This window comes from Homo sapiens, chromosome 7, assembly GCF_000001405.40.
Source record: "Homo sapiens chromosome 7, GRCh38.p14 Primary Assembly".
NCBI lineage: Eukaryota > Metazoa > Chordata > Mammalia > Primates > Hominidae > Homo > Homo sapiens.
This window is the reverse complement of record NC_000007.14, coordinates 96,123,879-96,140,609: the sequence shown is the minus strand read 5'-3', so window position 1 is coordinate 96,140,609 and position 16,731 is coordinate 96,123,879. Positions and strand designations below refer to the sequence as shown.

The window sequence follows — 16,731 nt, the reverse complement described above, 5'->3', positions numbered from 1 at the left end:
AACATGGTGAAACCCCATCTCTACTAAAAGTACAAAAAATTAGCCGGGTATGGTGGACGTGCCTATAGTTCCAGCTACTTGGGAGACTGAGGCAGGAGAATCACTTGAACCCGGGAGGTGGAGGTTGCAGTGAGCTGAGATTGTGCCACTGCACTCCAGCCTGGGTGACAGAGGGAGACTCCGTCTCAAAAAAAAAAAAAAAAAAAAAAAAAGGAGATCCTTGGTGGTAGAAATGTAAAGTGGTACAGTCTCTGTGGAAAACAGTATGGAGTTTTCTCAAAAAGTTAAAATAGAACTACTATATGATCCAGCAATCCCCCTTCTGGGTGTACATCCAAAAGAATGGAAATCAGGCCGGGCGCGGTGGCTCACGCCTGTAATCCCAGCACTTTGGGAGGCCGAGGCGGGCGGATCACGAGGTCAGGAGATCGAGACCATCCCGGCTAAAACGGTGAAACCCCGTCTCTACTAAAACTACAAAAAATTAGCCGGGCGTAGTGGCGGGCGCCTGTAGTCCCAGCTACTTGGGAGGCTGAGGCAGGAGAATGGCGTGAACCCGGGAGGCGGAGCTTGCAGTGAGCCGAGATCCCGCCACTGCACTCCAGCCTGGGCGACAGAGCGAGACTCCGTCTCAAAAAAAAAAAAAAAAAAAAAAAAAAAAAAAGAATGGAAATCAGATATCTGAAGGAGATGACTACCAGGTTCATTGCAACATTATTACAATAGACAAGCTATGAAATAACCCAAATGTCTATCAACAAAGGAATGCATAAAGAAAATATGGTATATTATAGCCTTAAAAAGGAAGGATATCCTGCTTTTGCAATGAGATGGATAAGTCTGGAAGACATTATATTAAGTGAAACAAGGCAGTCACAGAACTTCAAATACTGCATGATTCTATTCATATGAGGTGTCTAAGTGTACATATTCTTGATGTATGAGAGAGAGTGACTGAGTCTTTTCACAAATATACCAACATCAAAAATTGAAATAAGTAAATAAATAAATAAAAATGTTGTGCCTTACTCCTGATGGACTTTTATTCTCTCATTTAAGGAAGGATTTTTAGAAATTTAAGGAGAGGGTATCAAGTATACCTCAAGGAGTCAGGTTTTGTATCTAATATGTGTGAACATTTGAAAAATACTACAGGTCATGTAATGTCCATAATCTCTGCTTAAAGCTTGTATTAAACAAAAACTGGAAAAAAAAAGAACTTTTAAAAAATAATTTCAAATTTTATTTTACATTGGAGGGAACATGTGCGGGTTTGTTGCACAGGTATATTGCATGATGCTGGGATTTGGGATATGAATGATTCAGTTACCCAGGTAGTGAGCATAGTACCCAATACTTAGTTTGAAAAAAAAATTTTTCTTTTTACGAAACTTCCCCTGTGCTTCAGATGAATCATTGACTCGTGTGTAGAAAGAGGATAATAATCATACCTACCTATTCATAGTATCGTTGTGTGGATTTACTAAAATAATGCATGTAAAGCATACAGGATAGAGTTGAGCACATAGTACACATGATGTGTTAGTTGTTATCAACTTTTCATTATTGAGTGTCAACTAAGGGATTCTTGCAGGAATACCTAGTTTCTTCCACATTATTCCAGTCCTGGGTAATTTCCAATGCTGTGTGGTCAACAACCTCTCCAGGCCAGGTCTTCTGCTTTGAACTTTAGAATAGCAAATTAAAAGGAGATGGCTTGAAAAATATTATTTTTATAAAACAATGCCCAGAGGAATTGAGTGTGCTAAAGACACCAGAAAAAAAGGATTCCTTAAAGTAACAGCAAATGATCAATTTTTTTAACCATTCTTTTATTCTTTCACCAAATGTATATTGAATGCTAACACTATTAGATGCTAGAGTACCAAAGATGTGTACAGTATCATTGCCTTAAAAATGATCTATGTTAAGGGGCAAGAGAAGAGAAACATATAATTCTAGTGCCAGCACTTTGGGAGTGCAGGAGTTCAAGACCAGCCTGGGCAACATAGTGAGACCTCATCTCTACACAAAAATATTTTTTTAATTAGCTAGACATGGTGTCATGCACCTGTAGTCCCAGCTACTTGGGAGGCTGAGGGGGGAAGAGCACTTGAGCCCAGGGGGTCAAGGCTGCAGTGAGCCATGATTGCACCACTGCACTCTAACCTAAGTGATAGAGCAAGACTCTGTTTCAAAAAAAAAAAAAAAGAAAAAGAAAAAAATGCAACAAATTGCAGGTGTAGGATAATTGAAAATAATCCAGACTAGACACATCAGAGGAAAACTGCTGAACACCAGAGCTAGAGAGAAGCTCTTTAGTGGCCAGAGAAAAAAAGTCAATTTGCCTTCAAAGGGGCAACAGTTGAACTGACGGCTAACCTAAAAATGGCAACAGTGGAAGCCAGAAGACAGTTGAATGGGGTGTCTTCAGTATGTGGAGGAAAAAAACTTTTCAACCTAGACTTGTATACCCTGTAAAAATTGCTTTTAAGAACAAGGGTAAAGATATTTTTTAGACTAGCAAAACTCAGAAAGTGTGTCACCAGTAGAACCTTAATGAAGGAAATTCTGGAAGGTGATCCCAGGTGGAGATGTGTCAGGAATGAATAGCAAAAAAAGTGGTAAATGTTTAGTCTTGTTAAAAGTAAAACTTCAGCCAAAGTAAGGGAGTTTAATTGTACAATGAATGATTCGTGAATCAGGCAGCCCCCAGAATCACAGCAGAGAGTGCTGAGGCGGGCAGATCACAAGGTCAAAAGGTCAGGACCATCCTGGCCAACATGTTGAAACCCCATCTCTACTAAAAATACAAAAATTTGCTGGGCATGGTGGCGCACGCCTGTAGTCCCAGCTACTTGGGAGGCTGAGACAGGAGAATTGCTTGAACCAGAGGTGGAGGTTGCAGTGAGCCAAGATTGCACCACTGCACTCCAGCACTGTCTCAAAAAATAATAATAATAAAGAAATAAAGAAAAGGTGGAACATGTTTTACAGATGAGCTTTGTGAAGGTGACATGACTAGCAGCTTCAGGACTAAAATTCCATGTGATAACATTCCTCTGTACCATGTCTAGGATTTTCAGTCCATCTCAGTGATGAGCATTGTTGATGGCAAAGCAGTGTACAATACTAGAACAATAGAGAACTAGCACTGACCCAAGCAGCATTTCCTACAAGAAACAGAGTTGTCAAGATGATTTTGTTAGAATTGCAATGAAATTAAGGAGAACCCATATCCCTAAAGTCCCTGGATTAAAGAAGCCAAGTAATAGTCATTCATATTTCATATTCAAATTGAAGTAATTTCCATGTTCACTGATATCAAGTCTTCAAATGTTGGCTGGCTTATTTGGTTTTAACACAAGTGACACAATCACATAATAGGTCTTGGCACCATTGCTATTTCTCAGCAAGACACTCAAACTCACCCTCCTCAAATCTCAGCCATGTAGGTGGGGTCTAACCATCCTTTGACTGGGCTGGAGAGGCACTGCCAAGCTGTGTATCTAAGGGTTAACTTGCTTGGGGGAAGCCAAGAGGAATGCTAAGGGATCAAGTCATGACATGCTGCCCATTGTTTGTAGCTCTGGGATCAAAATATATAATTATACATGCCAAATAAATTCTAAACCTGTAAGGTAGGAAAAGAGGGCTGGGTGGCTCTGACGACAGGTGCCAGAAGCATTGAATAACCTTCTCAGACAAGGTGCACCACTGTTGTCTTGAATGCTGCAGGGTCCCCAGTCTGGCATTTTCCCCGTGCTAGACAATGTGCATTCACTGCTGGAGTCTCTGTTAAGCCTCCGTCTCCCAGACCTGCTGGCTCCTGGTGCCCGGCCCGACACAGAGGTGCCTTTGTGAGTGTAATTACCTTTCCCTGTATTAGAAATAGTCTGTTTAGAGCTGTGTTTGCAGGTACAGCTAGAATAAGCAGGAATTAGCATGCAAAAAGACCTGCCCTGGCCCTGACTTCTTTATCAGCACCATCCTTCAGGACTGGTTTTTTCCCCACTTTGGATTGATTGGGCAGGTGATTTACCATCCAAGATGAAGAGTTTTAAAAGAAGAAAAAGAGACATCGGAAATTGCTGTGCATGTGCAACAGCATGCGTGCGAGAGAAAGAGAGATACAAATCCTGTTGTGTTATATCTATTGACAGTTTCATACCAGGCAGAGCTGGCAAAATAAACTTGAGTGGACGATCCTAGCAACTTGAGAATTGATTAAAGCTTCCTTGGGCTTTCAGCACAGTGTCCACATCAAAAAGGCATGAGAAGCAAAATAAATGATTCTTTTGCCATGATATGCTGCCGCCAGAATCTCTAAGCCTATCTAATTGGCCTGTGTCAATTGTGGACTATTAATTTGAAGTTAAGTGAGGCCTACCCTTAAAGAAGCTTTTCTAGATCTTAAATAGGATGATGATGGAGAGACTTTGGCATGATATAGAATTGGAATGGAGGCAGAGTTGATAATTAAACTAGATCTGAGGGTTTTTTCCCAGTTTATAACGTAGGTCTACCCTGAGATGATTTTTGTTGTCCCTGTCTGGATATTAGTGTGCCTTTTATTTAAAAAGAAAAACCCAATAGTTTATCATCTTTAGAGAGATTAGATGATTGTATTTTGCATTTATTAATTTTCCCCAACTGATTATAGTATATACTGAGGAAATTCAGGACCAATCAGAGAATGTTTAAGGGCAGAGCTGCCTAGAAAACCAGTTTAAAAAAAAAAAAAAAAAAAACCAAAGCAGGAAAATGTGGGGATTTTCTTATATGGCAGGAATGTTTAAATATTTTTTTTTAAGTGGCACACCTTTGTAACTTATTAATTCTCAAATGGCCAAAGTAATATTTTTGTGTTGCTGATGCAGGCTCTAGGGCAGCATGGAATGTTTCCCTTTGTTATAAAGTTGCCTTTTCAGAATGGCTGATCTCTTGGTAAAAATTATACATGGAACAAGTAGAATTCAAGTCAAACAGGTTTATGTTTTGCTGTAGTACTGGAGAATGGGTGTTCACCACAAAGTGAAGGATTTATCAAGGAATCTGGGAGAGAAACATTTTCCCCCTTAGAACTTTAAGTCTTTTTAACATCCTGCTTCCCTTTTCATTGTGCAAGAGCAACAGGTCAGGTATTGCCTAAGGCAGTCTTACAAATTGGCACCTGCCTTTATGCCTAAGACCTAAAGGAAGTGGTGGGGAAAAAGAGGCCAGGGAAATTTAATAAGTCTCTGTCTTTCCTTGGGAATTGGGCTTTGATGCCTGGGGTGCAAGAGAGGTGAAGGGCCGCCTCCTGACGCAACTGGGAGAGGTATTTTCTGCAGGGAGACACCAGAGAAGGTGCTAGGAGAGGCAGGGAGACACAGCCCTCAGGTGAACACATTTGTGTCCTTTAATGTTTGTAATGCAGTGGATACCTTACAAGGACTTTCACACATATTACTTCATTCATTCCTAAAGTTTCAGTTGTCCCAGTCACCTGAAGAAGATGGCCTTTGGTATTTTTGACAGGTGAGGAAGCTTAAGAGCTTGATTTCTACAGGTGCTCATCACATGGCTAGGGGTGACAGGATGATCACACCAGGTGGAAGTTCTTTTGCTTCCTTGACTTTTCCATTTCTTCCTTTTTCTCAGGTAATCAGACACCAAAGACTTCTTGCATATCCTAACATTTGTTCTAGTCTGCATAAACACTTTGACCACATTGCTTGATTCCTGGAAAACGAAATACAACCCATTTCTAGGCATTTTTCCTTTAGTGTTGCAATTCTACCCTTTCCTCAGGGTTATATATATATATATATATAAAATTGTTTGTATGTTTGGTTTTTAATCAAGCCATTTCTCATCTCAGCCATGTAGAGTTGTTTTCCAGCATCTCTTGAAGTACATCTCACATCTCTTGTAGATGCCATTGTAACAGGGATACATGATTTACTGTCATGATTTCAGGAAAGGAAGAAGAAGGAGGTTCTCAGAAGGTGGAACACTCAGTGGGTCCTTCTTCAGAAGACCCAACTGATTCTTCATGTGCCTTTACTCTTCCTGTGCCTCAGGGATGTTTATAATTTCGAGTCATGTCTTCCCATGGCCTTCTGATCATACTGAAGCCACATAGCATAAGACAGGTTAATCTGCTTCTCTTTCTCCCCTCGCCCCCTTTTTTTAAACTTTAATGTTTCAATACAAAATTAGTGACTGTTTCCTCCTACGTTTTGTTACATTCCCAACAAATAATATGTCTTTGTTTGAAAAGCTAAAAGTGGCCAGGCGCAGTGGCTCAATGCCTGTAATCCCAGCACTTTGGGAGGCCAAGGTGGGTGGATCACCTGAGATCAGGAGTTGGAGACCAGCCTGCCCAACGTGGTGAAACCCCGTCTCTACTAAAAATACAAAAAACTAGCTGGGCGTGGTGGCAGGCACCTGTAGTCCCAGCTACTCAGGAGGCCAGGAGGCTGAAGTAACAGAATCGTGAACCCGGGAGGTGGAGGTTGCAGTGAGCTGAGATCATGCCACTGCATTCCAGCCTGGGCAACCTGGGCAACAAAGTGAAACTCCATATCAAAAAAAAAAAACAACAAATGAAAGAAAAGCTAAAAGCTTGGTTTTAGTTTCTGATATGTTTTTCCAAGAAATAATGTTTTTTAATTTTTATTTTTTATTTATTTATGTTTTTTATTAAGATGGAGTCTTACTCTGTTGCCCTGGCTGGAATGCAGTGGCATGATCTCAGCTCACTACAACCTCCACCTCCGGGTTCAAGCGATTCTTCTGCCTCAGTCTCCCGAGTAGCTGGGATTAAAGTGATCTTCATTTGAGTTGATTATTTGATGTCTAATTTGAGTATCTTCTGGACTGAATCTACATGTGGATGAATAGCTAGCAGCACTTACAAGAAGGCTTGGGGCAAAAAGGGAAAAGGAAGGAAAAACAGAAACTAAACGCTGATATTGTTAGCCTTATACAATAACAGCCCGAATTATAACTTTTTAAAAAACTAGTTGTAAGAAAAGGATTGGATGTTACACACAGTTATTAACATTATACTGTATGTTTTCCCTTTGAAAGAGCTGGGAGAAGTGGAAAAAACTCTTAGAGTATTGAGTTTTGGACTTGTCTCTGGAACTACCTCCAGGGTGCCCTCTGAACAAGCCAAGGGCATAGCCCTCGGTAAATGCACAATTGATAGATTACCCATCCAGGACGATAGATTACCTGTCCAGGACGTTAGTTTGTACGTGCCTAAAATGACTAGCTTGGGTGTGGTGGATATTGTGATTCTTAATTAGACATCTAACACTTTGGGGGTGGACAAGATACAGAAGCCTGAGCCGGTTGGCAGTACATGAGGTAGATGAGTGCTTCTCTGAATACCTGTATACACAGAGTGAACAGAGGCATGCTTACACATCCATGGGTAAGTTGACTGAGGAAGAGCCAACATGACAGAATCCAGATTCCAAGCATTTGTTCTGGTTGGCAGGATGAGCCAAACTAGGATGCAACTTAATAGGATTAAATCTGATGTCCTGCCTGTGTTACTTGTGTGAGGCAACTAATTAAGTTATAGTAGACTTGAGTTAATAGTAATTCATATGAAAAAGACTAAGGGTTTTATTACCCACAAGCTCAGTTTGAGTCAGGAGTGAAATGTGCGTGTCAGGAAAACAAAGGCTATAGTAACAGATACATAGTGTTAAATAACTTTGACAGTTTGGAGCATCAGACAGAAATACCCAAGATCCAGCATTACTAGGCCTCAATAAGTGTCACTGGGTGTGGCTAGATCTGTTGACTCTGGCTGGATTCATTATTTTCTTTTGGGAATCTCTGTATTTGGTGGAAATTTTTAGTTATTAGAAATCTGTTAAAGAAATGGTATTAAATCATTACATGTTGAAAAGTGATGATTTCCTTCCTATTCACCCTACCCAAAACACAATATATGTGTTGTGGTTTTCATCATAATATATCATATTTCTGGGCACTCATCAATTCGCGGGGCCTCTGCATGGCATTATGTTGGCAACAGAAACTATTTGTTGAAGACTTTGCTGTAGGAACTGATTGTTCTACACACAGCTTTAAAATGTATCCGAATTATTGTGAATATTTCAGGCTTTAGAGCAGGCATTTATCAATGTTTCATAAACCCTGGGTGGCAGGTAAGTAAGTATATAATAAAATTAGAAGGATCCATGAACCCCCTGAAAAGATATAATTTTTTATGTATGTGTAATTTCTTTCTGGGAAACAGTCCAAACGTACAAAAAGCAAACCCCTTTTCCCCCCACCTGTATAATTTGTCTACTTCCTAGTGTGTAAACAAAGAGGCATCTTGACTGCCGTTACCCGTCTTTGGTGAGACCAGAGAACAGATCTTCCTTGAAATGCCAGTGGCTTGCCACCAGTAGGGATTTAAAAGGATGTCACAGGCAGAGTTCCAAAAAGGTTTTAATTGAAGTCTTAGCATTAGAATAAATGAGAACTGCCCTCCTCCCATCACAGCACACAACAAAACTAGTTTTTGTTTTAAAAACAAAGTTTAGATTTATTACTTGCAGAATTTGGGTTATTTTTTTCTGTTCCCCTTTCAATGTGTGAGTACAAATTTGGTCTTCTCCAGGAATATTTTGTTCTGAGGTGAGTTCCAGAGAAGCTTGATCTCCTCAATGGGATATGTGTTTCATGTGGTTTTTCTTCCTTTGCAAATGTGCAGGGTGCCAAAGCATGCTTTCTGCGGGACATTCCTTTCTCGGCCATCTACTTTCCGTGCTATGCTCATGTGAAGGCTTCCTTTGCAAATGAAGATGGGCAGGTTAGCCCAGGAAGCCTGCTCTTAGCTGGTGCCATAGCTGGTGAGTGTCCCCCATGGAGTTCTCTTACTTCCCTGACCCTTGCTGCCCCCCTTCCCTAGCTGCATGCTACTACATTGAAATTTTTTTGCTGATAGTTCTTGACAGGGTATGTGTGAGTTTGCTAGAGATTGAAGAGCTACTGAAAAAAAAGGGAAAAAATTAATCTTCATTCTGGCAGATGAGATTATTAGACAAGCTTAATTTCTTAACTCTAGAAAAGGCTCATTAAATATTGGCTTATTTTGTGGTATTGTGGAACTCCAATTCAAGTTCCATATCATTTCATAGTCTCACTTCACAGCATAAGAATAACTGTTTAGCTGGAAGTTTTTAAAGATTTGAATAGGTTTGTCTTAAAGATGTCTAAAAAAAATAGTGCATAAAAGCCTGTCCAGAACTTAAACAATAGTTAGAGAAAAGAAATGTAGTAGAACCAGAAAAGACCTGGGCCAATTAGAGACACCTGTTTCCTCCCTGTGTTACGGGGGGATGGTGGTAATTAAATCACAGATGGAAATAACTATCTTCTTTTTTTCAGTGCTCCATTGAAAACATCGATAGAAAATAATTAACCATGCCAGGGATCAGTTCATTTTTTGATGCTGCTTCTTTTCAAGGGTCCCTAAGAGCAGGAACAGTCTGGATTAGCTCTCCAAGTGGTGACATTTAATAAGTTAACAAACCCTAAGGCGGTCACAGGATGCCTGGATCCAAACATTTTTGATACCTGTGCTATTCTCATCAGATATGTAACTAGAGTCTCCATGCTTTTCTCAAAGATAGCATAAGAACAACTCCCAGCTTTGAGAAGTTGTTTGCTGTTTTGTGCACACCCCACCTACCCTGGCTGCAGCCTGGGGAACCCCTGGATGCAGGAACCTGTGTAGCTCCTCCTTAATTCTTAGTTAATCCTTTTCCTTCAAAGGCAGTGATATTGGTATATAAGGCAGGGCTACTGTTTCCTGGCTGCTTAGAAACCTCAGTTGTATTAGCAGCAGTGATACCACTGTATCTAGAGCAAGAGATCATGATTTCAGGAGTTGAGTATAAAATTCCCAATTTTAATTCCAGCTTGACTCATGGTGGCCTATATGTAATTTCTCATATATCTGTAAATGAGAAAATGTTTTGAACCAAAGGGTTATAATTTATTTCAAATTATTTACTTGAAATAAGGTAGGACCTAATGAGAATAACTGAGTACCACTTATTAATGTGTGACCTTGGGCAAGTTACTTCACTTCTTGTAAGCTTTGGTTTCCTCAGCTATAAATGGAGATCACAACTGCACCTGCTACAGAGTGTGTGTGAGGCTCAAATGAGAGGATCCATGTGAAAGACTTGGCATAGTTCTTAGCATACAGTAAATGCTCAATAAACATTAGCCAAGTATTACATTGAATCCAAAAGAATCTGTCTGTAAATCACTCCAAAAAATAAGTTGTGAAATTAGAAGTTAAGTAGTAGAGCTCAGATCAAGGTCTAGGACTCTTTCCTAAGCCTCACTTTCCTCACACCATAAAAATACCATCTTTAACTCTTTTCTTGGAGAAGACAGGTACCCAGAAACGATTCTGTCTCTGTGGAGGTAATCCATTCTACCAGAGCTATAGAAATGACTGGTGAGATTTTTTTTCATTTAAGGTTTATTTTTCTCCTTTTTTAAATGATTTTGAAACTAATATTACTCATTATAAAATATTTGAAAAGTACTAGAACAGGCAAATAACAAAAATATTATTCATTATTTCACTACTCTAAGATAATTGCTATTTAACATTTTTACTCATTTTTCCTATTCAGGTTTTTCACAGAGCTGTAATCACACTTTGTATAGATAGTTTTCACTTAAGGTTGTGTCTTAAGCATTGTTACCCATCATGGCAAAGTAGTTAATGACATGTGCCTGTGGGGTCAGACTACCAATGTTCAAATTCCAGTGTTTCCACCCTGTGTGAACCACACACATTATTCATTCCCTCTCTGCCATTTCTCCATCTGTATTTGGAGATAAGAATAGTCTTACCTTACAAGATTATTATGAGAATTAAGTGAATTAATAGATGAAAAGATTAAAATAGTGCCTGATATATAGTAAGTATTCAAAAATGTTCCATAATAGTAATTTTATTACATATTATTTAAAACTTTCCGAACATAGTTTCTAATTGCTGCATCTTATGTATTTCTCAATTTTAGATACTTTAATTTTTTCCAAAAAATTTTAAATAGCTAGTAGTATGCTTTTTCCCCTATGTTGAATCAGTTATTTTTTTTTAAGAGAAATAGATTATCTGAAGTGAGTTTGTTGGTAAAAAGCATGGTTGTTTTTCGGTCATTGACCCATTATTCTTGAGAGTTTTAAGTAGTTGGCATCCCTGTGGTGATGTTAGTTCAGCCCTCTTGCCATCCTGTTGTCTTTATAAATGCCTTCTGTATTTGTTATCTATTACTGCATGCCAAATTCCCTCAAAACTTAATCAGCTTAACACAACTAATATTTATTTTCTCACAGTTTCTGTGAGTCAGGAAACAGGTGTGGGGTAGAAGCAGCTCACTGGGTGCCTCTGGCACCAGGTCTATCATGAAGTTGCAGTCACAGTAGCAGCCAGGCTTGACTGACATTGGAGAAGCCACTTTCAAGATGGCTCAATGACATAGCTGTTGACAGGAGGCCTCAGTTCCTTGTCATGTGGGCCTCTCCATTGGTCAACTTGGATACCCTCACAACATGGCAGTAGATTCCCCAGAGCAAAGTCTGAGAGAGAGAGAGAGAGAGAGAGAGAGAGAGAGAGAGAGAGAGCAAGCAAGGCAGAAGCTGCAGTGTCTTCTATGACTTCACCTCAAGATGATAGAGAAGCAGAGGCGTGAATGTCACAAGGGTGCAGATCTTTGAGGGCCATTTTGGGAACTGGCTGCCTCACTTACTATAGAGCATTGACTTTTATTATTATTATTATTATTATTATTATTATTATTATTATTATTATACTTTAAGTTCTGGGATACATGTGCAGAATGCGCAGGTTTGTTACATAGTTATACAAGTGCCATGGTGGTTTGCTGCACCCATCAAGCCATCATCTAGGTTTTAAGCCCCGCATGCATTAGGTATTTGTCCTAAAGAGCATTGACTTTCCTATTATTATCCACCTTCCTCCTGATCCCCCGTTTCTGGTAAAATGGGAAAATACCGAGTTTGCCCTGTTGATTTTAGTCTTCAAAGAGTGAATAAGCTACAAAGCTTGATGGTCTTTGTGTATTCTACAAAACTATAAAAACTGTGTAATGCGAAGTAAGCTACTTTCTTAATTTAATAACAGATATCAGAAGCCAGTGGTCAATGTCATAGTTACCATTCCAATTAAAGTTAGGAATAAGACAAGGATGTCTCTCTCATCTTTGTTATTCAGCCATATTTTGGAGGTTCCAGTCAGCATGGTAAAATAAAGTAAAAGGCATAAATAAAAGAAGAAAGGAAGCAGTCATTATTTATAAATGATTATTTACCTGAAAATCAAAATTAAAATGTCTAAGAAGTATATTAGAATTAGGAAAAAAGATTAGTAATGCATTTTGTTATAAAATAAACATAAAAAATCTATATCCAGTGAGCAGGAGTGATGTCATGGGGTGAGCAGGGCTGAGTGTGGAACCTTGCTGAGATGCTCAGGCAGAGCTGAGTTCAGTGTGGAGAAGGGCAAGACTTTTGTCAGAAGTGTGCCCCGTGCAACCCCAAGAAGGGCAGTGAGCAAGCACAAATGTGCACTAATCCTGAATGGGCTGTTGGGTGGAGGACGGATCAGGCCCCCACATTCCCTTTGTGGTTGCCAAGAAGAGCAAAGGCATTTCTTAGGGAGAGGATACATGGTATTCAGAGAATCCCAGAAAGTATTTAATAGGAGAAAAGCTTCTTTCAAAATACAAAAATCCTCCTTTTTAGATGGAGTTTCAGGCAACTACAATGAATAATTGTTGGCCTCTAACTTATAAAACAAAAATGTCTCATGGCTATTTTTATATGTACCATATTTAAATTGATCACTTATACATAAAATATTTTTTGCTGAACATCAGCCTATTATAAATAATATGGACCTGTGATTAAATGAATATGACCACGCTTTCTATGTTTAGATAATAATTTCAATTATTCAGTAATGTTATCTCACTGTTTTCTTTCCAAAAATTTGATTAGCCTTGAGGTTAGATTGTTTTAGTAATATGTAGCTTTTTAGCAAAAGTGGTTATTGGTATCCTCACCTAGAGAATGTTGGGTTTTGGTGTTTTTGTTTTTGTTTTGTTCATGTATCTAGTTATAAACTGGGACTATATTTAAATACTGGAACATCTACTCCGTTATTTCACAAGATAGAACAAGACTAACCAATATTTGAATTCATGTTCATTGGCCAAAGTACATCAGCTTTGTCAGAAAGTGAAGACCGAAGCGGGGGTCCTGAAATTAAGAAATCAAATTCTAATTATCTATAATTAACATGGTGCTTTATCATTAATGAAGGGCATTTCAATACACCTTGTGAATGATATCAAATAAAATATATCTAATACTCAAATTTTATAGAATGCTCTATCATACCAGATGATTTTTATCAGAGTGATAAGATAGAGGAACAAGTCAAACTGTAATGATGGTCTCACCTTTGAATTAATTAGCTTGAGATTAAGTTGTAATACAGAAATACCTTTAAAAGCTGTTCCAGTACACAGAAGTGGAAGTGTGTTATACATGTGTGATCATGATGCTTTTGCAAACATTAGATTGTGTATTATGAGAAAACTACTGTTGGTACAAATTTGTTAATTATGTGGACATAAAGCTTAAGTTATAATAGTTTAAAACCAGTCCTTAAACCCTTAAAAAAAGTAATGAAGAAATTGAATCAAGACAATAGACTGAGCATATTCATCCATCTCTCCTGTCTTCCCAAATACCTTAAAATGTCAGGAAATGCATTTTTAAAAAATTCTTTATTGGCACTAGAAAATGCTAATCTGGCCCTCAGCAGAAAGGAAATAGCCATATTGACTCTGAAACTGGACTGAGAGATGCCCCAGTCCAAAACACAGCAGGAGAAACTACCTCTAATGCAAGGGCTGAACTGGAGAATGTTAACCTTTGAGTGAAGAATAGAATGCCTGGGGTGGAGGTGGAGGTTTTAGGGTAAATCATTAACATGAGTTAGGCAACTATACTTTCTTCAGGATTGCCAGGCTTGGAGCTCTCTCCTGGTTTTCATATGGAGCTTCAGGAGACAGTTGTATCCAAGTTAAAAGCTCAGAGCTCAATTTTAAAGAAAGAGACCACTTCCCTAGAGAGGATAAGTGTAAGGAATGGACAGAAAGTAGGGCAGGACTTAAGGTAATTCAAGACTTCTACCACAGATGCAGGAAAAAATAAAGTGATGGCAGCTTTTCCCAAGAAGAATTAAGGATTTAAAATAAATTCTTCTACCCCCAAAGTGAAGTTCCCTACATTTCAGCAGTTCGGAGGGTCCACACCCTGCCAGCATATCCTAACCCCTTGCACCCAGTTACACAAAGCCCATAGACCCTCCCATTCAGGAGAGAGACCTGTGGGTGAAGCATACCTAGAATATGGTAGAAGTCACCCACAACATTTGTATATAATACTAATCAGCCTATCCTTTGAACTTGAATAATATCAATAGACAACCAGAGATCCCCAGCCATGAAGGAGCAACAAAGTAAGTGAACAGAAGAATTAGAGAGAAAACAGGCAATTCAGGGGACAGAAGACAACTTTTAAGAACTATAATTAATTAATATAATTAATTAGAGTCCTCAGAGAGATTTGAAAGAAATAATCAGTAAAGAAGCTTTCTTGAAAAGTAATAGAAGAACTGCCATAATTAAATATCAAGCGTTAGTTCTGAATGATATAATGGATATGATCAAAGACCAAATTTAGACATGTGGAAAATAAAGACATGCAAAAAAAAAAAAACCCCTCTAGAATGTAATGTGTAGCAATAATATAGAGATAGAAAAGGAGAGAAAATTTAAGATACAGGTAGAATTAATCTTGGAAATCTAACATCTGTTTCATAGGAGTTCCCTAGGGAAAAGTAATAAGGAAAAGGAGAATAGAAAATGAATCAATAGAAGATTGACTTCTCATCTTCTTATCTGTAATACTGGATACTTTCAAAATCCCAAGGAAAGGATGTCTTGAGTCGTAATTATGTTCCTGGGCACACTAACACTCAGGAGGGGGAAGGCAAAACTAAAGTTAGTTTTTCACATGCAAGGACTCAAAGCTTTCTTCCCCACAGACCTTCTCTGAAGCAATTAAAAAGTGAATTTAAGGGCCCAGCACAGTAGCTCATGCCTGTAATTCCAGCACTTTGGGAGGCCAAGGTGGGCGGATTACCTGAGGTCAGGAGTTCGAGACCAGCCTGGTCAACATGGTGAAACCCTGTCTCTACTACTAAAAATACAAAAAATAGCCGGGCGTGCTGGTGCACACCTGTAATCCCAGCTACTCAGGAGGCTGAGGCAGGAGAATCACTTGAGCCTGGGAGGCGGAGGTTGCAGTGAGCCAAGATCGTGCGCAGCCCCAGCCTGGGCATCAAGAGCAAAACTCAGTCTCAAAAAAAAAAAGTGAATTAAGAAGGAGGAAAATGTAGGATATATGAAACAGCAAATAGAAGTTAAACCTGTGGTAGGTCTCCATTATTGCTGACTTTGGTATATGTATTCATGCAAGAATGGTTGGTTTTTGGGAGACTGACAAATGAAAGGAAGGACAAAAGTGCCAGTGCGCCAAAGTCCTCCCCTTGCTGGAGGATGCAAATGCTAATTAATTGCACCTGTTGTAAATGTACACCTATATAACAAATGCATGTAACGTTTAAATATATTTAGTCAGGGAAGTGGTGGGGATCAAAAGGGAAATAACTGGAAGCAGAGAAAATAGCATAATATAGGATGGCAGAAATAAGTCTAGTAGTCACAAGCACTGTAAATGAATTCAGTACCCCTAGTAATAACAAACACTTTAAGATGAGTTTTGAAAGAAAATCTAGTCATATGAAGTTTCATAAAACAGTGACATAGAAAGATTGAAAGACAGCTGATTGAAAAATATGTACCAGGCAAATATCAACAATAAGCAAGTAGCAATATTAATGCCATACTGAATGGAATTCAAGGTTTTAAATAGCGTTCAGAAGCACACAGGCATATTTTATAAAAGATAAAATTCACTATGAAGACGCCATCAATTTCTATGTAATATCAATGTATAATGTCATCTCTCAGCTTCAAAGTATGAAGAAAATGCGATATTTTCTCATACCTGATGAAAAACTTTATCACACTGCTTTTAGAAGCTGACGTATTAAGTAGATAATATAGATAGAGATGCAAAGGGGATTTGGAAAACAGCCTTGATCCAAAATAAATAGATATTAACCTTTGTATTCAATAAAAAGAAAAGCACTTTCCTTATAAATATAAATGGGATATTTATAAAAATTAACGATGACTTGTGCCCTAAAGCTGTATTTTGCCAGTCATGTTTTCTTTTTGTTGTAAATTATATTCTACTCTAGCTGGGCCCCCTTTGAAGACTTGTAATTTTTTAATTGGTTGAGACATGCCCCAAGTTACTCCTGTCACAGAGGTGGTGGATGGCCCCTGGGTCTCTGTGTTTGTCTTGTCATTGAAGAATCAGGCAGCCTGCCAGTCCCTTTCCTGCTGAGGGACCTAGAGGAAGCATCTCTGTTTCCCAGTCTCCTCTTGCTCCCCTGTCTTTAGGAATAGAGAAAATTCAGACCACTTGATCAGCATTGGCTTAGCCTTTTGGAATCCAGAAGAG

The 16,731-nt window shown here is 38.8% G+C and overlaps 1 protein-coding gene and 1 pseudogene across 6 annotated transcripts in view, besides 1 other annotated feature; both read left to right on the top strand.

The window, feature by feature from the left end:
* The window catches only part of SLC25A13 (solute carrier family 25 member 13), a 201,879-nt gene that overhangs the window by 181,489 nt on the left and 3,659 nt on the right, over window positions 1-16,731 (top strand). For all 6 annotated transcript variants that reach the window (NR_027662.2, NM_014251.3, NM_001160210.2 and 3 more), the window contains one exon: window positions 8,729-8,867. Coding sequence is in view for 5 of the 6 variants with exons in the window: in NM_014251.3 (NP_055066.1) it covers window positions 8,729-8,867 (139 nt within the window). In the remaining variant the exon portion in view is untranslated. The remainder of the gene's footprint in view (window positions 1-8,728; window positions 8,868-16,731) is intronic.
* Window positions 3,449-4,042: an enhancer, noted in NCBI's record as "VISTA enhancer hs2313; eDlx#23 fragment used in the reporter transgenes". NCBI's record gives its function as "enhancer in: forebrain[2/2] | limb[2/2] | branchial arch[2/2] | ear[2/2]; activates a Hsp68 promoter in the otic vesicle, forebrain, branchial arch and limb of transgenic mice, or an E1b promoter in the otic vesicle, forebrain and pectoral fin of transgenic zebrafish {active_cell/tissue: branchial arch | ear | fin | forebrain | limb | otic vesicle}" and the evidence as "EXISTENCE:transgenic organism evidence [ECO:0001131][PMID:17130149, PMID:22914741]".
* CYCSP18 (CYCS pseudogene 18) lies at window positions 12,548-12,783 on the top strand (annotated as a pseudogene).